General features: G+C 43.6%; 2 protein-coding genes across 47 annotated transcripts in view, besides 5 other annotated features; one reads left to right on the top strand and one right to left on the bottom strand.

The window, feature by feature from the left end:
- ANAPC16 (anaphase promoting complex subunit 16) lies at positions 1-19,849 on the bottom strand. Of its 9 annotated transcripts, none has more exons than NM_001242546.2 (5): positions 19,723-19,849; positions 15,482-15,807; positions 11,805-11,973; positions 5,421-5,495; positions 1-2,860 (listed from the first exon to the last, which is right to left on the bottom strand). In NM_001242546.2, the coding sequence occupies exons 3-5, from the start codon at positions 11,944-11,946 to the stop codon at positions 2,745-2,747; spliced, it is 333 nt and encodes a 110-aa protein (NP_001229475.1). In that variant the 5' UTR covers positions 11,947-11,973; positions 15,482-15,807; positions 19,723-19,849; the 3' UTR covers positions 1-2,744. The 9 variants fall into 9 exon arrangements, 7 of the variants coding, with proteins under 7 accessions (NP_001229475.1, XP_047280536.1, XP_047280538.1 ...); XM_047424580.1 differs by having other exon boundaries at positions 15,482-15,801; XM_047424582.1 differs by having other exon boundaries at positions 19,789-19,849.
- Positions 18,048-18,589: an enhancer, noted in NCBI's record as "H3K4me1 hESC enhancer chr10:73977030-73977571 (GRCh37/hg19 assembly coordinates)". NCBI's record gives its function as "activates a minimal SCP1, AML or CMV promoter by ChIP-STARR-seq in primed H9 embryonic stem cells {active_cell/tissue: H9 hESC(primed)}" and the evidence as "EXISTENCE:reporter gene assay evidence [ECO:0000049][PMID:30033119]".
- The window catches only part of ASCC1 (activating signal cointegrator 1 complex subunit 1), a 121,103-nt gene continuing 119,356 nt past the window's right edge, over positions 18,727-20,473 (top strand). For 13 of the 38 annotated variants that reach the window (NM_001369112.1, NM_001369108.1, NM_001369103.1 and 10 more), the window contains exon 1: positions 19,585-19,654. Coding sequence is in view for 9 of the 38 variants with exons in the window: in XM_047425261.1 (XP_047281217.1) it covers positions 19,008-19,040 (33 nt within the window). In the remaining 29 variants the exon portion in view is untranslated. Of the gene's footprint in view, positions 19,041-19,584; positions 19,655-19,751; positions 20,085-20,473 lie in introns of those variants that run through there. The other 25 variants (NR_045564.1, XM_047425261.1, NM_001369099.1 and 22 more) reach the window with 4 other exon arrangements.
- Positions 19,169-20,164: an enhancer, noted in NCBI's record as "NANOG-H3K27ac-H3K4me1 hESC enhancer chr10:73975455-73976450 (GRCh37/hg19 assembly coordinates)". NCBI's record gives its function as "activates a minimal SCP1, AML or CMV promoter by ChIP-STARR-seq in naive H9 embryonic stem cells {active_cell/tissue: H9 hESC(naive)}" and the evidence as "EXISTENCE:reporter gene assay evidence [ECO:0000049][PMID:30033119]".
- Positions 19,169-20,187: a biological region, named in NCBI's record as "NANOG-H3K27ac-H3K4me1 hESC enhancer GRCh37_chr10:73975455-73976450".
- Positions 19,758-19,947: a silencer, noted in NCBI's record as "silent region_2469". NCBI's record gives its function as "represses an Ori minimal core promoter by ATAC-STARR-seq in GM12878 lymphoblastoid cells {active_cell/tissue: GM12878}" and the evidence as "EXISTENCE:reporter gene assay evidence [ECO:0000049][PMID:35858748]".
- Positions 20,068-20,187: an enhancer, noted in NCBI's record as "active region_3528". NCBI's record gives its function as "activates an Ori minimal core promoter by ATAC-STARR-seq in GM12878 lymphoblastoid cells {active_cell/tissue: GM12878}" and the evidence as "EXISTENCE:reporter gene assay evidence [ECO:0000049][PMID:35858748]".

The raw sequence follows: 20,473 nt of genomic DNA, 5'->3' as shown, positions 1-20,473 counted from the left end.
TTCAAAAAGCATTTTTGTTTAATGCTAAGATCACTTCAGTTTCCAAGGTCATATAAAGAAACATCCAATTTAGAGAAAAAATTCTGTAATAAGTTCAAATACCAAAGCGTAAAGATGATGTAACACAGTGCCTATGCTGCATGGTTACACAAATGAAACGAGAAAGGTAGTGATTGCTTCTAAATTCTCACTGAAAATCCAATTTAAAGGTTTATTGCAGTCTAGGTATTTTTAATTTTTCCCTTGGTGATTATCAAGATGGTTGATGCTAATAAGTACTATTAAAAAACTAAAATGCTGTCGAATATGGAACTTCTTTTAGTTAAGAATTATTAATATAGAAAATGTGAGTTGGTGGACTGGTACTTCTTGTGCTCTGATTTTTATTTATTTATTTTCTTCTTTTTTTTGAGACAGTTTCGCTCTTGTTGCTCAGGCTGGAGCACACAGGCACGATCTCCACTCACTGCAACCTCCGCCTCCCGGGTTCAAACGATTCTGCTGCCTCAGCCTCCTGAGTAGCTGGGATTACAGGCGCCCGCCACCACGCCTGGCTAATTTTTTTTGTAGTTTTAGTAGAGACAAGGTTTCACCATGTTGGCCAGGCTGGTCTCGAACTCCCGATCTCAGGCAATCCGCCTGCCTCAGCCTCCCAAAGTGCCGGGATTACAGGCGTGAGCCACCACGCCCGGCTTTATTTTTTTTTTTTTGAGACAGAGTCTCGCTCTGTCACCCAGACTAGAGTGCAATGGTGTGATCTCAGCTCACTGCAACCTCCGCCTCCTGGGTTTAAGCGATTCTCATGCCTCAGCCTCCTGAGTAGCTGGGATTACAAGTGTGTGCCACCACACTGAGCTAATTTTTGTATTTTCAATAGAGACTGAGTTTCACCATGTCGGCCAGACTGGTCTTGAACTCCTGACCTCTAGTGATCCACTCACCTCAGCCTCCCCAGGTGCTGGGATTAAAGGTGGGAGCCACTGTGCCCAGTCTCCAATTTGCTTTAGAGGCAATAATGAGATGAATTATCAGGCAACTGGGATCTATTCCAAGTCCGAGATTTTCTTCTGCCTGGGCTATGTGACCATGAGCAGGTGTTTAACTTCACAGGGCTCAGGCTCTTAACCGACTGAATGAGGTCACCACCTCCCGTCAGGTAGAATGTGTTAAACATTTTGAACTCTTGAGATTAAGGCTAAATGCTACTGGGATTATATTTACTTATAATTAAGCAACTCTAAGCAGATCAGATGCAAGTTATTAATAAGGAACCAGACAAATGTTGTCTAAGGCAAAATTTGCATACAACGTAATAAATGATTATACCAGTTGTTTACTGTGGAAAGTGGGGTCCCATGAAGGAAAACAGCACATCTCTTAGCCTTCCAGGTTTTCCCCTATCATGGTATAAAAACTTACTTGAGGCCAGGCGCGGTGGCTCATGCCTGTAATCCCAGCACTTTGGAGGCCAAGGTTGGGGGGATCTCTTGAGGCCAGGAGTTCAAGACCAACCTGGGCAACATAGCAAGACCATGTCTCTTTAAAAAAAAATTGGCTGGGCAAGGTGGCTCACGCCTGTAATCCCAGCAATTTGGGAGGCTGAGGCAGGTGGATCACCTGAGGTCAGAAGTTCGAGACTAGCCTGGTCAACATGGTGAAACCCCGTCTCTACTAAATATACAAAAAATTAGCTGGGTGTGGTGGCGGGTGCCTGTAATCCCAGCTACTTGGGAGGCTGAGGCAGGAGAATTGCTTGAACCTGGGAGGTGGATGTTGCAGTGAGCAGAGATCGCGCCATTGCGATACAGCCTGGGCAACAAGAGCAAAACTTCGTCTCAAAAAAAAAAAAAAACTACTTAAATATCATTAAGATAAATTTATGTACTCCTATAAAGACAAATATCCCTTAAGTAAAGCCAGTCTACCATTTGTTTAGGAGAGATGGTTTTTAGATTCCCTTCTTCTAAAAAGTAATTTGACCTCTTCACTTCATCCCAAATCCCTGAGATTTTGAAAGGATAATGCCACCAATTTGGAGCTCTTTCAAAGGATTTATTTGCTACAGAATTGCTTGAGTCCACCAATGAGAAGAACTCAGGATTTCTGTGTTTAAAAGGATTTTGCTTACTGCTTTATTTTTACAAGTGCTGCCATATCCAAAAAGCACTTCTTTTTGCCAGCATTTGGCATGTCTATAAGAGGTTAGAAAAAGTCAGAATCTATAGAATTGATGTCTAAAAATAGGAAAAAAAAAAGAATATTTAAAAATTCCTCATTTGGATAGGTCCTGAGTTGAAAACACATTCATCTGCAAAATAACTTTTTTAGGTCAGAATGCTATATTTTTAACCACAGATGCTGACCTTGACCTTGACTGGTAAATATTTCCAGGCACCATATGGATGACAGGACAGACGCCATTCAGTTGGCCAAATCTGATATATGCCCTACTTGGCTTGTGAAAATTTTTGAGTATCTCTTAACCCCAAACCTCCTGGTTCTCTGAAACTGATTGTCTTAATCTGATTCCCAATACTTTTAAAAACAAATAAACAAAACATTCCCTGAAAGATCACACATATAAGTATTTGTTGCCTGTGAATAGATACAGAGAAACCAAGTACAAATGTGCATTAACAATTCAGTGACGTAGCTGTGGATCTCTGGATGGCTATGTAAGCTGTGAGAAAGTCCCCCACTGGCTTTGCACTTGCTGCGCACCAGAGGTGACCATCCAGGCAGTATCAACCTGAAGAGGGGGTGAATCCCAGCAGCTGCTCGATGGGCTTAAACCGCCACTCGTCAGCCTCCAGCTCTTCTACCAAACCAGCTAGTTTTTCCATCCGAGCAACTTGCTGATCTGTAAGGAGTCAAGGAAAGAATATTATGCAACAACGTATTACCCAAGAGACTGCCACCAGCCACCAAGATGATGACTGGTATAAAAATAATTTCTAGGCCGGGTGTGGTGGATCACGCCTATAATCCCAGCACTTTGGGAGGCCGAGGCGGGCGGATCACGAGGTCAAGAGATCGAGACCATCCTGGCCAATATGGTGAAACCCCATCTCTATAAAAATACAAAAAAAATTAGCTGGACGTGGTGGCATGCGCCTGTAGTCCCAGCTACTCGGGAGGCTGAGGCAGGAGAATCGCTTGAACCCTGGAGGCAGAGGTTGCAGTGAGCCGAGATCGTGCCACTGCATTCCAGCCTGGTGACAGAGTGAGAATCCGTCTCAAAAAAAAAAAATTTCTAGATGGATTTTTTTTTCTCCTCAAGATTCTCTCTCTTTTTTTGGGGGGTGGGGTGGGGGTGGGGAATGGAGTCTTGCTTTGTTGCCCAGGCTGCAGTGCAATGGCGCGATCTCGGCTCACTGAAACCTCTGCCTCGTGGGTTCAAGTGATTCTCCCGCCTCAGCCTCCTGAGTAGCTGGGACTACAGGCACCCGCCATCGTGCCCAGCTAAGTTTTTTATTTTTGTAGAGATGGGGTTTCACCATGTTGGCCAGGCTAGTCTCGAACTCCTGACCTCAGGTGATCTGCCTGCCTCAGCCTCCCAAAGTGCTGGGATTACAGACGTGAGCCACTGTGCCCGACCCTCAAAATTCTCATAATGGGGTCTTATTCTATGCTGGTCAGAAGCTTAATTTTTTTTTTTTTTTTTTTTTTTTTTTGAGACAGAGTTTCACCCTTATTGCCCAGGCTGGAGTGCAATGGTGTGATCTCAGCTCACTGCAACCTCTGTCTCCTGGGTCCAAGCGATTCTGCTGCCTCAGCCTCCCGAGTAGCTGGAATTACAGGCATATGCCACCATGCCTGGCTAATTTTGTATTTTTAGTAGAGATGGGGTTTCTCCATGTTGGTCAGGCCAGTCTCGAACTCCCGACCTCAGGTGATCCGCCCGTGTCAGCCTCCCAAATTGTTGGGATTATAGGCATGAGCCACCGTGCCCGGCCTATTTTTTTTTTTTTAAGTTGGAAGTTTCTTCTAATGTTAAAAGAAGAAAGGCTGGGCGCAGTGGCTCATGCCTGTAATCCAAGCACTTTGGGATGCCAAGGCAGGCGGATCACAAGGTCAAGAGATCAAGACCATCCTGGCCAACATGGTGAAACCCCATCTCTACTAAAAATACAAAAATTAGCTGGGCGTGGTGGCGTGCACCTGTAGTCCCAGCTATTTGTGAGGCTGAGGAAGGAGAATCACTTGAACCCAGGAGGCAAAGGTTGCAGTGAGCCGCGATCATGCCATTGCACTCCAGCCCGGGTGACAGTGAGAGACTCCGTCTCAAAAAATAAAAGTCATTTTAAAATAAAATGATCACATTTTCAGGATGTGCCCTATTTTTTTCCAGAGACAGGGTCTCACTCTGTCACCAAGGCTGGAGTATGCCTCCTGGGCTGAAGCGATCGTCCCAACTCAGCCTCCCACGTAGCTGGGACCACAGGCATGCACCACCATTCTCCACTAATTTTTGTATTTTCTTTTTTTAGATATGGGGTTTCACCATGTTGCCCAGGTCAGTCTTGAACTCCTGGGCTCAAGCAGTCTTCCTGCTTCAGCCTCCCAACGTGCTGGGATTAGAGGCATGAGCTACTGCACCCGGCCTGGATGTGCTCTGTTCCTAAAAAAAGTACTCATCCTCTATGCCATAGTGATTTGTGGACTAAAATCCTAGGGTTAGAGGCAATTACAGCTTTTCCCCCTACATAAAGTTTCAATGGAGAAATGGTCTGGAGGGGGAACACAGTTTGTTGATGCAGAAATGAAGGCCTGGTGAGGCCTAATGTAACAGAAAAAGTGTTATCAGGATGTTAGAGTATAGACAGACCAGGAGGTATCGTACAAATACTTGAAGATGATGATGGTAACCAGTGGAGGACAACAGTAAAAGGAGGTTTCAGACAGGAGAGGAAAAAGTAACACAAGAGGAGCAGGAAGCACTGACTCCCTGGAGGACCAACTTTTTTTGTTTTTCAGACAGGGTCTCTGTTGCACAGGCTAGAGTGCAGTGCTGTGATTCCGGCTCATTGCAGCCTCAACCTCCCGGGCTCAAGTGATCTTCCCACCTCAGCCTCCCAAGTAGCTGGGACTACAGGTATGCGCCACCATGCCTGACTAATTTTTTCTTTGTAGAGATGCAGTTTCACCATGTTGGCCAGGCTGGTCTCAAACTCCTGACCTCAAGTGATCCACCCGCCTCAGCCTCCCAAAGTGCTGGGATTACAAACGTGAGCCACTGCACTCGGCCCCAACCTTAAGCCTCAATGTGGACATTATGACTAGATTAAGACCTAGAATGTTCTTTAATTTAGGAAGTCCACTAAAATAGCCTTGCTGAGTTTGGGGATTTTTGTCACAGCCTCATCCACCCCCTAGCAAATTTATTCTCACAGTCAAGTACGCAACACTCATGTGCTTACCATGTTTCACCTGTTTAAGCGTGGATGCCACTTGATAGCTAAAAACAGATTCGCAGAGGAATCTCTCAGAGCCATCTACAAACAAAAGGAGAAAAGGTTTTAATCTGCTCTAAAGGTTTTATGGCTTCTGATAAACCAAGTAAACTTGTCTATTCTTTTCCCTGCTTGTACATTCAGGGTCTAGTTCTCAGTGTTTACAAAGACGGGTTCTGCTTCATTTAGAACTAAGACTGTTATAAAAGCTATTTATTCTATACCTAGAATATTAAAATAGTCCCTCTACTTAAGAGTTTAAAAATAGTGTTTAAAAAAACAAAAACAAGAAACCTCCGTCTGATGTCCTGGTCAACACTTCCCTCCTCCCAACCTGAGAGTTCCTTAATGTTCTCCTGTATGTCAAGCAAACACTGGCAGCTGACACATTTGGCCTTGTGGCTGGCTCCTGTAGTGTCAAAATATAAAGGTTCACCAAAACTCCAAATCATTTTCAGTCTAAAAAACAAAGCTGAGGAAAAAATTGTTGATTTTTAATATATCAAATTACATCACTCTGACAATCACAGAACACTGCTGGGAAATTTCATTCTGTGAACGCAAACTGTAACCTTGATTTTCCAACTGAACCAAAACACTGCAATTTGGATGACGATAAGAGTATGGTGCAAGTTCAGAACCTAGAATTGTACTGGTGCCAAGAACTGCCAACAAGAAGTGGCCAACTCAGTTGCCACAGCACTTGGAAGATGATCATGAAACATAAGCTAGTTCATGTTATTCCTTGTCAGGCAAGGGCTGATACAGCAAAACATATTCTCAAAAATTTACAGCTCACGTAGAAACATTTGATTTTTAAAAAGGTAGCAGAAACCATTTGGGGGATGTACCTTATTGCGAAAATCCTAAAACAAACGGGGAGAGAGGACACAGCTGTCCTTTTTCAGGCAGTACTTCACGTTAGCACTACTAGGCCTCAAGCATTCACCCATCAATCATGGGTTGTTGTGTTGGCCAGGTATTACATGGCAAGCAGACAGGACTAACACATTCTGGCCTCATGCTGAGTTTCACACAAAGGAAACCTTATTTCAGAAGTCACAATAACCAATTAAAAAAAAAAACAACTATAGATACTGTATCCAAAGAGCTTGAATATATAACCAAGAGGGCATCCTTCCAATATCATCTTCAAAGTGATCAAAAAAAAAAAAAAAAGAGAAAAAGAAAAAAATGAAAGTATAATTATTGGGATGTATACTTTTTGTATTCTTCAGAGACAGTGTTACATTCTGTAAATTCAAACTCAGTCTCAAAAAAAAAAGGGGTTTGAATGTCAGCAGTCATTATCCTATTCATATTCTTGCTTAAAAAGTCCAATTATAACTCATATTTTATTTTAGAAAGAGGAAAGCATAGACAATTAGAGTTTACCTCCCAGATGGTTTGATCCTGAACTTTAGGATTACACACAAGGCAGTGGGAATTATAGGCTATAAGGATCAGGCCAAGATGTATATGGAAGCTCCTGAAAGTGCCACCTCTCACTTGCATTTAATCACAGGCACCATTAGGATAAAATAGTTAAGTTGTGATATTTGCATATTTTCCTTGGTAATGAACTTCAAAGCAAAAGGATATAAGCTAAACTTTCAAAAAGGAACCTCTGCATTTCACTCCACCACACTATATGCCTGTGGAACACACTTTTGCTGATTTGCAGCTCCCTATTAACGTCCAAGTCCAATTGCTTCTTAGCCACATCCTATTAGATGTGGTATCAGTACCAGTCTAAAGCCTGGAATTGCTCCAGAACGGAGTCAGCTGGGGGCAATCTCTTCCATTTAGAAACTGTAATCAAACCCTTTGTAACACAGCAGGTAGCAATACATCAGCTTTCCTTGTCAGGGACAAGCACAGGTCATAAACAGGGAAAAGTTTAGTAAATTACCCAAATCTAACACCATAGCCAACTCCAATAAATAAGGATGGTAACAAATACATTAAAAAGAATATTACCTCACAGTAGGCAATTAGACAATGCCAGATAATTTATACTTCAGTGGCTACAATGTCTCTAAAATACAGCCACTGATGGGCTGGAAGGCAGTTTCTAATGTGCTCAGTAATAACTGGGTGAGGACAATTTTGGCCAAGGGCAGGAGAATGCTGCAAACTGCTGTATGCTGCTTATGTGAGGTGTCTGTTATCAGAGAGCAGAGGCACAAAAAAGTTAATTCACAAGGTTAACTACAGGTGATTTGGGTTTACTATCCTAGACTCACAAGGATGTAACATCAAGTTGAACCTTTTGAGATTAAAAACAGCATCCATCCTTGATTCCTAACTGCTTTTGTTCCTTACTCTTGACAGGCAACCCTTCCTGCTCTATTTTCATATCCTTTTTTTTTTTTTTTAAACCAAGTCTCGCTCTGTCGCCCAGGCTGGGGGGCAGTGGCATGATCTCGGCTCACTGCAACCTCCGCCTCCTGGGTTCAAGCAATTCTCTCAGCCTCCTGAGTAGCTGGGACTATAGGCACACACCACGATGCCTTTTTTTTTTTTTTTTTGTATTTTTAGTAGAGGTGGGGTTTCACCATATTGGTCAGGCTGGTCTCGAACTCCTGACCTCAGGTGATCCGCCCACCTCGGCCTCCCAAAGTGCTGGGATTACAGGCGTGAGGCACCGTGCCCGGCCTCTATTTTCATATTCTATTAAACTATTATTGGTCAGGTACATGTGTGTTAGATTTATTGTATAATAGAATAGTATCACCTATAAACATGGTAGAAAATGCTTCCAAATCCAACATCCTTACATTTCAGAGTACTCTTCTCAATTTAATATTCTTGATTTGACCAAGAATATTAAATGGGTTTAGGGGTTGCCATCTCTACATTATTTTTCAGTCTTTAAGTGTAATACTCTTTATATTCTTAAGATTTTAGATTTTTAAAGATTATCTTAATCTTTTTAAGATTTAAGATTATTGGTAAAACTTGAAATGTAAGAAACACAATCAAAACTGTGCACTGTGTATTTATACTTAATATAAATGTATCCTACAACAGAAACACAACACATTTCTCCATGAAGCATATTGAGATGGAATAAAAATGGATAGATCTATAACTCGTTAGAACATCAACATTCAGACTAATCTCAGAAGCCTTTCTTCTTCAATATCTCCACATAATTTGATGTATACTGACAAAGAATGCTGATAGCTTTGAGACTGTGGAGGTACCTCCTGTATTAAATTCCTCTTATAGCTAGAATTTAAATGACTTTAATCTTAGAGCTCCATTGTTGAATATGGATTCTTCTGCTGCTATAAAACTCATTAAGCAATTTAAGTGTCTCCCATTTTTGATTTGTTTTGTGGGAAACTTCCTTAATACTAGGTCTTTGCTGCATATAAATGAAGTCATAATATAGTTTTAGCACCAAATATGGTAACAGGGCCCCAATTGTTCACTACTTCTAACCAGACTCAGTGATACTAACTTGAGTATTTAGTTAACACAATTAAAGAAAATAAAAAGGCAAAGAGAGAAGTACATGTATCACTAATTACATATGCTACCTGGTCATCTACCTCACCACTAGTCATAACCCAAACCAATCCTAGGGAGCTCTATGGTCCCAGAGTCCCCCCGTGGTTTCCTGTCACAAATGATTTTGGGCTTAACCCGTAACTCTTTTTATTATTTCTGATTATTCATCACCCCCAAGGCCAACTATAGTTTGTATCTTTTCTTTTCTTTTTTTTTTTTTGAGACAAGGTCTCCATCACCCAGGCTCGAATGCAGTGATGCGATCACAGCTCACTGCAGCCTCCACCTCCCAGGCTCAGGTGAACCTCCCACCTCACCTTCCTAAGTAGCTGGGACTACAGCCACGTGCCACCACACCCAGCTAATTTTCTATTTTTTCTAGAGACAGGATTTCGTCATGTTGCCCAGGCTGGTCTCAAACTCCTGGGTTCAAGCAATCTGCCTGCCTCAGCCTCCCAAAGTGCTGGGATTACAGGTGTGAGTCACTATGCCTGGCCTATAGTTTGTATCTTTCTCACAGATATTCCTAGATTAGTTTTAAAATATAGTTGTGTAAATTTGAAATATTAAGGCCAGGTGCGGTGGTTCATGCCTGTAATCATAGCACTTTGGGAGGCTGAGGTGGGCAGATCATTTGAGGTCAGGAGTTCAAGCTCAGCCTGGGCAACATGGCGAAACCCTGCCTCTATTAAAAATATTAAAAAAATTAGCCAGGTGTGGTGGTGGGCACCTGTAATCCCAGCTGCTTGGGAGGCTGGGGCAGGAGAATCACTTGAACCCGGGAGGCAGAGGTTGTAGTGAGCCAAGATCGAGCCACTGCACTACAGCCTGGGCAACAGAGCGAGACTCTGTCTCAAAAAAAAAAAAAAATTGCAACACTTAAAGGAAAAAAGATCAATATATAATTAAGCACTAAAATACTAGAATCAAGTAAATTTTGAATCCTTAATAGGTTATTCCCCAAAGCTTTTTTTTTGCTTTTTTTTTTTGAGACAGAGTCTTGCTCTGTCACCAGCCTGGAGTACAGTGGCATGATATCTGCTCACCGCAACCTCTGCCTCCCAGATTCAAGTGATTCTCCTGCCTCAGCCTCCTGAGTAGCTGGACTACAGGCATGCGCCACCACATCCAGCTAATTTTTTTGTATTTTTAGTAGAGACGGGGTTTCACCATGTTAGCCAAGATGGTCTCAATCTCCTGACCTTGTGATCTGCCTGCCTTGGCCTCCAGAAGTGCTGGGATTACAGGCGTGAGTTACTGCGCCTGGCCTCCCAGTGCTTTTTAAAAATTTATTATTACTATTTTTTGAGACAGAGTCTCATTCTGTCACCCAGGCTGGAGTGCCATGGCATGATCATGGCTCAATGCAACCTTGAACTCCTGGGCTCAAACAATCCTCATGCCTTGGCTTCCCAAAATGCTGAAATTTTAGGTTTGAGCCACCACTCCTGGTCCCAATGTTTTTCAAAATATGGAAGACTGCCTTCATGAGAAGGGCCTGGATGCTGGTAAAAAATGGACTCCTGAGCTACACCCTAGACTAATTCAGAAACTCTAAGGTGGGCCCAGAAATATGCATTTTATTTATTTATTTATATATATTTTTGAGACAGAGTCTTGCTCTGTCACCCAGGCTGGAGTGCAGTGGCACAATATTGGCTCACTAAAACCTCTGCCTTCTGGGTTCAAGTGATTCTCCTGCCTCAGCCTCCCGATTAGCTGGGATTACAGACATCGCCACCATGCCCAGCTAGTTTTTGTATTTTTAGTAGAGATGGGGTTTCACCATGTTGGGCAGGCTGGTCTCGAACTCCTGACCTCAGGTGATCCACCCGCCTTGGCCTCCCAAAGTGCTAGAATTACAGGCATGAGCTACAGTGCCTGGCCAGAAATGTGCATTTTAAGTAACCTCTTTGCTCTTCAAATGACATGCTTACAGCCTGTACCCTGATCTTGGCCAGCCAGTCAGCCAATGATGCTGAACAAGATGGTGAATGATTTGATGCAAATCTGGCTTTGGTGCTATAAGAACCACACGGCATCATGCTGCAGTGGGTCAGGAGTCATGTTCACACAAAAGGGCAATGTATTAGCTTTTATTCCCTCTTAGAACCTTTCTGACAGGGTGAATCTATCCGTAGATTAATCACCCTAGAAAAAAATACATCAAACCTACTACCATGGGAGGTAGACAGGTGCCAGGATAAAGCAAACTGGAGTAGGAGGTCAAGAGAATTCCTGGATTCAGTGCTGCCTCTGCGTTTTTTTTTTTTTTTGAGACAGAGTCTCATTCTGTCACCCAGGCTGGAGTGCAGTGGCGAGATCTCGGCACATGGCAACTTCTACCTCCCAGGTTCAAGTGATTCTCCTGCCTCAGCCTCCCCAGTAGCCGGGATTACAGGCGCCTACCACCATGCCCGGCTAATTTTTGTATTTTTAGTAGAAATGGGGTTTCACCATGTTGGCCAGGCTGCTCTCAAACTCTTGGCCTCAAGTGATCCACCTGCCTCAGTCTCCCAAAGTGCTGGGATAACAGGAGTGAGCCACCGTGCCCAGCCCTGACTCTGCCTTTAACCTGGTCAAATCACTTAACTTTTCTGGATCTAAATAACTCTAGATGACTTCATTGATTTCCAAAGTCCTTTTCAGCTCCAAAATTCTGATTCTGGAGCAAGACTTGTTTTTAAAGATACTATTTTGAGATGGGGACAAGAAATGAAATGTGGAGCTGAAATCAGGGCAAACTCATCTTTAATCCACTTAATAGCTTCTTTACAATTAATATGCATTGCAGATCTGAATCCAATTATTCAGAAAGCAGCATGAGATCACCTTCTAACATCTCTCCAGCTCCTTTGGGGTAGGTGAAAAGGGCTTTCCGTGGTGGGGCAAGGTCTGAGACACTGAAACCAGATCCAGTGACAGAACTTCCACTGACCCCACCAGCTGAGGAGGATGATGATGAAGCAGCCATTTCCTCTCTAGCAGAGTTCTTACTTCACTACAGAGAAAGAAAAACAGCAATTGGCAAGTTTATGGAAGTGAGAGTGACAACATTTCATTCTAGCTGCTGTAAGGGCCAGCATACAGTTTTGTAAAGAGTTAGCTCCCCTTTTTTCTATGCTCTCTACTTTCACAATATTTTATTGATGTCTCAGGCCAAAATATCAGTCAGGTTTTGAACTGAAAATATGCTTAAGAATAGTATATCTACTTAAAACATGAATTCCTACCATTAGCGAACTGTTTATGTCAACTAAGATTGACTGTGGGTGATTTATGAGTTATGAAGGGGTGATATGGCAGTGCCAAGGCAGAAATTTGACAGAGGAAATAAGTTATACGAGGATAAAAGCATCACACTTCATAGGACAGTTTTTCTTGGATACATCCTGATCAAGCCACAACAATAAATTATAATATTTTCCAAATAACATTCCAGAATAACACTGTGTTCTGTTCCCAGGGAAGGGGAACTAGTTAGGAAATACATATTGGCTTTCTCATTAAAAATTAACCTTTTGGCCAGGCACGGTGGCTCACGCCTGTAATTCCAGCACTTTGGGAGGCCGAGACGGATAGGTCACCTGAGGCCAGGAGTTCAAGACCAGCCTGGCCAACATGGCGAAACTCTGTCTCTACTAAAAATACAAAAAAATTTAGCAGGGCGTGGTGGTGGACGCCTCTCATCCCAGCTACTCAGGAGGCTGAGGCAAGAGAATCATTTGAACCCGGGAGGCGGAGGTTGCAGTGAGCCTGGGCGACAGAGCGGGACTCTCAAAAAAAAAAAAAAAAAAAAAAAAAAATTAACCTTTTCATCTAAATGTAATACCCAAACTTATCACTTGGTGGCATCCCAAAACTGGAACAAAAAGTTCAGGAAACAATCTTGGAAACCATGGCCTATTATGAACAGAGCACCTACCTGTGAGTGTTTAATCCTATTTCATACCAAAAAATGCAAATGTTAACGAGAAAACTGTACTGAATACATGACACCTTACAAAAGTTCAAAACAAAACCCTCCCTTTGCCACAGAAGCTTACACGACTTTAACAAAAATTCTAAAAAGTGTATATGGTATTTTCTTTCTTTCCTTTTTTAATTTTTTGAGACGGAGTCTCGCTCTTGTCGCCCACGCTAGAGTGCAGTGGCATGATATCGGCTCACCGCAACCTCCGTCTCCTAGGTTCAAGCGATTCTCCTGTCTCAGCCTCCTGAGTAGCTGGAATTACAGGCATGAGCCACCATGCCCAGCTAATTTTTGTATTTTTAGTAGGCACGGGGTTTCACCACGTTGGCCATGCTGGTCTCAAACTCCTGACCTCAGGTGATTTGCCTGCCTTGGCCTCCCAAAGTGCTGGGATTACAGGCATGAGCCACTGCGCCTGGCCTCTTTCCTTTTTTTTTTTTTTTTAAATAGAGACAAGGTCTTGCTATGTTGCTCAGTCTGGTATGTATGTATGTATTTATTTACGGAGTCTCGCTCTGTTGGCAGGCTGGAGTGCAGTGGCGCGATCTCTGCTCACTGCAACCTCTGCCTCCCAGGTTCAAGCGATTCTCCTGCCTCAACCTCCTGAGTAGCTGGGACTACAGGCGCGTGCCACCACGCCCAGCTAATTTTTGTATTTTTAGTTGAGACAGGGTTTCGCCATGTTGGCCAGGATGGTCTCCATCTCTTGACCTCGTGATCTGCCTGCCTCGGCCTCCCAAAGTGCTGGGATTACAGGCATGAGCCATCATGCCCGGCCAGTCTGGTCTTTAACTCCTGGTCTCAAGTGATTCTCCCACCGTGGTCTCCCAAAGTCTCACTGCGCTCAGCCCTCTAACAAGTGTATTTAGTATTTTTTAAAGAAAAAATGGCCGGGTGCGGTGGCTCACACCTGTAATCCCAGCACTTTGGGAGGCCGAGGCGGGTGGATCACGAGGTCAGGAGTTCAAGACCAGCCTGGCCAACATGGTGAAACCCAATCTCTACTAAAAATACAAAAATTAGCTGGGCATGGTGGTGCGTGCCTGTAATCCCAGCTACTTGAGAGGCTGAGGCAGGAGAATCGCTTGAACCTGGGAGGCAGTGGTTGCAGTAAGCCAAGACTGCACCATTGCACTCCAGCCTGGGCAAAAGAGTGAGACTCTGTCTCAAAAAAAAAAAAAAAAAAAAATTTAGCTGGGTGTGGTGGTGGGCGCCTGTAGTCTCAGCTACTCAGGAGACTGAGGCAGGAGAATCACTTGAACCTGAACCTGGGAGGCGGAGGTTGCAGTGAGCTGAGATCATTCCATTGCACTCCAGTCTGGGTGACAGAGCCAGACTCTGTCTCAAAAAAAAAAAAAAAAAAAAAAAGAAAAGAAAAAATGGTCTAGTGCCATGCTAATAGAACTTTCTGCCATGATGGAAATGTTCCAGTGTTCTATTTCTGCACTGCACAATATGGTTGCCAGTAGCTTCATGTTGCACCTATAAACTGGTGTGACTGAAGAACTGTATTTTAAATTTTATTTAATATTAATTAAAATTTAAGTAGCCACATGTGGCTATTGGCTGTTGTAATGGATAAATTTCTAGTATTTAGATTAAAAATAACTTTATATTGAATTGTATACTTTAAAATGGCAAATGGTTAATTTTATGTTATGTGAATTTTAGCCCAATTAAAAGAAAGGACTTCAAAAAGGATTGCAGGCTGGTGGCTAACGCCTGTAATGCCAGCACTTTGGGAGGCCAAGGTGGGCAGATCACCTGAGGTCAGGAGTTCAAGACTAGCCTGGTAAACATGGCGAAACTCCATCTCTATTAAAATACAAAAATGAGCTGGGCGTGGTGGCAGGCGCCTGTAATCCCAGCTACTTGGAAGGCTGAGGCAGGAGAATAGCTTGAACTCGGGAGGTGGAGGTTGCAGTGAGCCGAGATAGCGCCATTGCACTCCAGCTTGGGCAACAAGAGCGAAACTCCATCTTGGCGGGGGAGAAAAAAGGATTGTAAAATGAATTTCCCTCTATAATGGTCAGAGAGAATTTTAGCTGAGTTTTTTTTTTTTTTTCTGGCCAGTCACGTGAAGCAGTGGGAGTGGAAAAGGAACAAAGAAATCTGTAACTGGTGGTGATCAGTTACTGTAAACACCACTTCACCTAGACCAGCCTGAGTATTTTTCTTTCGGGTTTTTTTTTTTTTTTTTTTTGCTAGTTGCAAAATGAACATATTTATTATAAAAAAGTTGAAACATATTTGTTTTTTGAGGCAGGCTCTCGCTCTGTCACCCAGGCTGAAGTGCAGCGGCGTGATCATGCTATTGCAGCCTCATCTCCTGGGCTCAAGCAATCCTCCAACCTCTCAACCTCCCAAGTCGCTGGGACCTGACCTCAGGTGCATGCCACCATGCCCAGCTAATTCTTTTTACTTTTAGTAGAGACAACTTCTCACCATGTTGCCCCTAGACTGGTATGAACTCCTGGGCTCAAGCAGTTCTCCCACCCTGGCCTCCCAAAGTGTTGGGATTACAGGTGTGACCCACCATGCCTGGCTGAAACTTATGTTTTCTTTTCTCTTCTTTTTTTTTTTTTTTTTTGAGACGGAGTTTCCCTCTTGTTGCCCAGGCTGGAAATGGCGCGATCTCGGCTCACAGCAACCTCTGCCTCCCGGATTTAAGCGATTCTCCTGCTTCAGCCTCCCGAGTAGCTGGGATTACAGGCATGCACCACCATGCCTGGCTAATTTTGTATTTCTAGTAGAGATGGGGTTTCTCCATGTTGGTCAGGCTGGTCTTGAACTCCCGACCTCAGGTGATCCACCTGCCTTGGCCTCCCAAAGTGCTGGGATTACAGGCGTGAGCCACTGCACCTGGCCATGTTTTTTGAAAACAGAAAAAAGTGAGGAAATGAAATACAAATATAAATTTATATACATAAAATCCAGATTCCTAGTAAGGAAAATGATATAGTATGTCTTGAAATACTGGCTGTTCTGTTTGCTTAATTTTGTGATGAAGATTTAAGGCTGTTAGAGAAGCAGAGCTTGGTTTCTGATTTCATTACATGTCTATAAGTAACACTGATTAATAGTGAAGTGGGGTATGGGAACGGTAAAACAGCTATTATAACTAGACTGTCAGCAAAAATGCAAATTGATTAATGACATTTTATTTTTTATTTTGTTTGGAGACAGAGTGTCGCTATGTTTCCCAGGCTGGAATGCAGTGGCACTATCCTGGCTAACTCCAGCCTTGACCTCCTGGGTACAAGTTATCCTCTCACCTCAGTCTCCCGAGTAGTTGGGACTACAGGCACGTGCCAGAACACCCCACTAATTTTGTTTATTTTTTGTAGAGAGGAAGTCTCACTATGTTGCTCAGGCGGGTCTCCAATTCCTGGGCTCAAGTGATCCTCCCACCTCAGCCTCCCAAAATGCTGGGATTACAGGCCTGAGCCACTCTGCTCAGCTGACATTTTCAATCTTGTTATTAGATCACTCTTCCTCTTTTCTCTGAGCTCTGATAACTTTCCAAATTGTACTCATATCCACAGAGGCAACAACTTTGGGAGTTAGATTAATATCCAATCTTCCGGACTACACTGGGTCAAAATACAGCCTGACAAGTTTTTGAATTGTTTTTGAACTTAAGCAGTAAGGGACCAGGTCCAAATCTCTAAGTGAATTCCTGGTGGGATTCAAATAAAGTATACAGACAACTTAGCCATCTTTTGGAGAGCAGCTCAGTCTTTATTTCCCATCAGTTCAGAGTAGAACCCACGGTGAACTGTTTATATATCTCACCTAAGATTTAAAACTCTAATCTATTTTACCTACACCCTGATAAATGCTCTATTCAGTTGCAAATGCTTTATACTTTATATTTTGAAGTCAGGTGCTGAGCAGAGCACCCAAGCAACTGCCAGAGTGAGGACAGCTTCAAAAGGTAGCCACAGTGTGACTTCTAAGCTGAATATAATCAAACGAACTCCCTTTCATCCTGTTTTCTTCCAAACTCTCAGAACTACTATCGTTCCACACACAAAACAGCCAGGGTTGAAAACTGGAGCACAGAATTAGCATAAAGCTAACTTTAAATAAGCAGTTTTCTGCTGAGGTGGAAGGATATACCTAAGTAATTTCTAGCTCTAAAGATTTAGGTTAAATTTTGAATGCTACCAGCAAGTGGTAAATGAGAGTAAAGCAAAACTAATAAACCCTAGATGGTAACTGCTCTCAGGGCAGGAATTAACTGATCACCAGAACCAAACATAACACCTGGCCTATAGTAAGGAAGTAGTTGTTCACTTCAGTAAATGTTTGCTGAGTGAATTAAATATTTCACAGAAACCACAGATTCCTTAAAGGTCATCTAACCCAACTTCCCCATTTTATATATGAAAAAATAAAACTGAGGTGTAGAGACAATTTTAGCTTATCTGCTGTGACATTTTGAAGCAATGGCTTGTTGGTATGTTATTTGTCATGTGCAACGTAAAGCAGCATAATGGGTAAGATTATGAAGCCTCTCTGAGTTCTGGTTTTGCTACTTACTTGCTGCATGACTGTGGACACATCATTTAACCCATTTATGCCTAGTGTTCCATTACTGGAACGCTAAGCATGTGGGAGTTATTTATACCCTACTGCTCAAGGTCATCGCCAAGGTCTGATGCCAAAAATGTAAAAAATTGCAACCTCCGGCATATATATATATATATATATATATATATATATATATATATATATATATATATATTTTTTTTTTTTTTTTTTTTTGAGACAGAGTTTCACTCTTGTTGCCCAGGCTAGAGTGCAATGGCACGATCTTGGCTCACTGCAACCTCCGCCTCCCCCTCCGGGATCTTTTTGTTCCTTAGTTGTCTTATCTGCAAAATGGGAAACAGGTTGAGTACCCTTCATCCGAAATGCTTGGGACTTGGAAGTATTCTGGATTTCGGATTTTTTTTTCAGGTTTTGGGATATTTGCATTATACTTAATGATTAAGCCTCTCAAATCCGAAAATCTAAAATTCAAAATGCTCCAATTAGCATTTCCTTTGACCATCCTGTCAGTGCTCAAAAAGTTTTAAATTTTGGAGGATTTTGGATTTCTGGATTAAGGATACTCAACCTGTAATAACGGCACCTACCTCACACAGGTGTGACAAAGATTAGTTAATACACGTAAAACACTTGGAACAGTTACAGGCTTAGTAAACACTTCATAAATCTTGGCTATTCAAAGTCATTAACGGAGAGTTACTACTGAGTCTTTTTTCCTATGCAGATCCCAGGTTTTCATACTTACTATGAAAAAACCTCATGGGAAAAGTATTAATTCTCTCCATCTAACAGAGTCAGCAAGCTCCCACAGGAGAAAGAATCTGTTCAGGAGGAGGGCCAGTGCCTTCTATTAAGCACTTTACACTTTCCTTTTTTTTTTTTTTTTGAGACGGATTCTCGCTGTCACCCAGGCTGAAGTGCAGTGGCGCGATCTCGGCTCACTGCAAGCTCTGCCTCCTGGGTTCACGCCATTCTCCCGCCTCAGCCTCCCGAGTAGCTGGGACTACAGGCGCCCGCCACCACACCCGGCTAATTTTTTGTATTTTTTAGGAGAGACGGGGTTTCACCGTGTTAGCCAGGATGGTCTCGATCTCCTGACCTCGTGATCCGCCCGCCTCGGCCTCCCAAAGTGCTAGGATTACAGACGTGAGCCACCGCGCCCGGCCTACACTTTCATTTTAAGGTTCAATGATCTTAAGAAACACCCTGCCACCTTCGAAAAGTCTTTCTACCCTCAATGCCGAGCACAGAACCTGGGGCAGTGTTTCCACTGTGCTTCCAGTCCCGAGCATTTCGGATGAATGAATGATGAACAAACGACAGAACGCAGGGCGAGCAGCTCAGCAAAGGTCATGCAGGAGATAGAGAAGCGCTGTGTCATGAGTATTGGATCATTATGGATTTTTTTCTTTCTCATTGTGCAGATCTATTCGCACAACTCTATCTTCAACCAGTTTGCCAGGCCCACCGGAGGTGCCCAGTAAAATTTTGTCAAACAAATACTGATGATGAAGTATCCTGGGACTTGGCCCTGTCAGGTAAGTTGGGGCTGACAGTGGAGATCCTCACAGGAGAGTAACGATGCTTTGTGGACACAGATTGCTGTGTCCGAGCTAAGATGCTTAAACATTTACTTCATGTACGGCAGGGATGACCTCGCATTCATATATTTATGAATATAAATTCCTTTCCTTTCTAACAGATATATGCCTATTTTCTTAAAAAGAGTAATTCCTTAAAAGTTCCTACCCTAGTACAAAGGCAAATTATTACAAGTAATCATTAAATTCCATCATCAACAAATCGTTCCACTTCAAAACAGCTGGATTACAACCCAAACCAAATAGATGCCGCAGCTGTAACGGGGGGGGGGGGGGGCGGGAACGGGGCGGGGGTGGGCGTGGAGAAAAAGTGGCCAGAGAGGGGAGCGCTCAGAACACCAGCGGCTCCCAAGCTAACTCCTAGCCACTTTTCCCACCCAGCTGGGTCCCCAGGAAACTACGCCATCGGCGCTGTCCCACTGCGCAGGCGCCAGCCCTCGGCCCGCATGCGCACTCGGTCAAACCCGGCCTGGGGAAATTTCCTATCGCACGTCTGCTGCAGCAGTCTCCTGTTTCTCCTCCTACCTTCTCCATTTTTCTAGTCCCTGCAGGTAGGATCCTGGGGGTTAACTCCCTTTTCACCAAGCTCCCGAGGGCCCTCGACCCCTCGGCCTCTTACCTCAGCGGCTTTAGCACTTTCCCCTACAGCCCCACCCCCAGGACCAGCCTGAGTGGCTGCGCTCACCACGACGAGGACCGCGGCGTGTTCGCCCCCCAACAGACGGAGCCAGCGGCGAAGGCGGCGTGCGCGCGCCCGTGCCGTGGTGGGCGTGGCCGGGGCGGAGACGCGAGGAGGGGAGCAGAGAACGCGCTCGCGTAGAGGAATTCCGGGTCCTCCTCCTCGCCCTACCTTGGTTTACCTGCAGCCGCCTAGTCCTCTTCTCCTTCTCTTTGATGATTCAGGGCCTCGGCTTCCCTCACGATATTGCAGAAAGACACAGCTTTCCTCTTCCTCTCCAAACCACCTCGAAGCAGGGTTAAGTTGGTTATTCCTCTCTTTCCTTCCGAGCAGTCTCGTAGCGCAGGGCCATGTAGGACAGGTAGATGCTGCATTTGCTGTCTCCGCGACAACTGCCTGTTCTTCCGGAGCTCGTGGTCTGAGGGCCCGACTTTCATCTTAGTCTGTTTTTGTGGGGAACATTTTTTTTTTAAGCTTTTCCTTTGAAAGTCTTTTTTCGTTGAGAACTTTAGAGGCCTCGGGGAATAGGCCACTGGGTTGTGATGTCATCGAGTATTGCTAATGATGTGCCCTTTTCCTCCATCCATGTCGGTTTACCTTCTGTGTTGTTATTTCTCACGAAACCTCTTCTTGGTTCTGTAAGCGCACAACTCATCAATTATTATTTTATTTATTTTTTTGAGACGAAGTC

This window comes from Homo sapiens, chromosome 10 (genome assembly GCF_000001405.40).
Source record: "Homo sapiens chromosome 10, GRCh38.p14 Primary Assembly".
Lineage (NCBI taxonomy): Eukaryota > Metazoa > Chordata > Mammalia > Primates > Hominidae > Homo > Homo sapiens.
Note: the sequence above shows the minus strand (reverse complement) of the source record. Positions and strands in the feature narration are given on the sequence as shown.

Excerpts from the sequence above, each read along its gene's own strand:
- ANAPC16 (NM_001366791.1), bottom strand. The coding sequence starts at position 11,946 with ATGGCTGCTTCATCATCATCCTCCTCAGCTGGTGGGGTCAGTGGAAGT. Across the intron at positions 5,496-11,804 it reads AGCTGGAGAGATGTTAGAAG|ATGGCTCTGAGAGATTCCTC; the intron begins GTGATCTCATGC and ends TTTTGTTTGTAG. Across the intron at positions 2,861-5,420 it reads GCTTAAACAGGTGAAACATG|ATCAGCAAGTTGCTCGGATG; the intron begins GTAAGCACATGA and ends GACTCCTTACAG.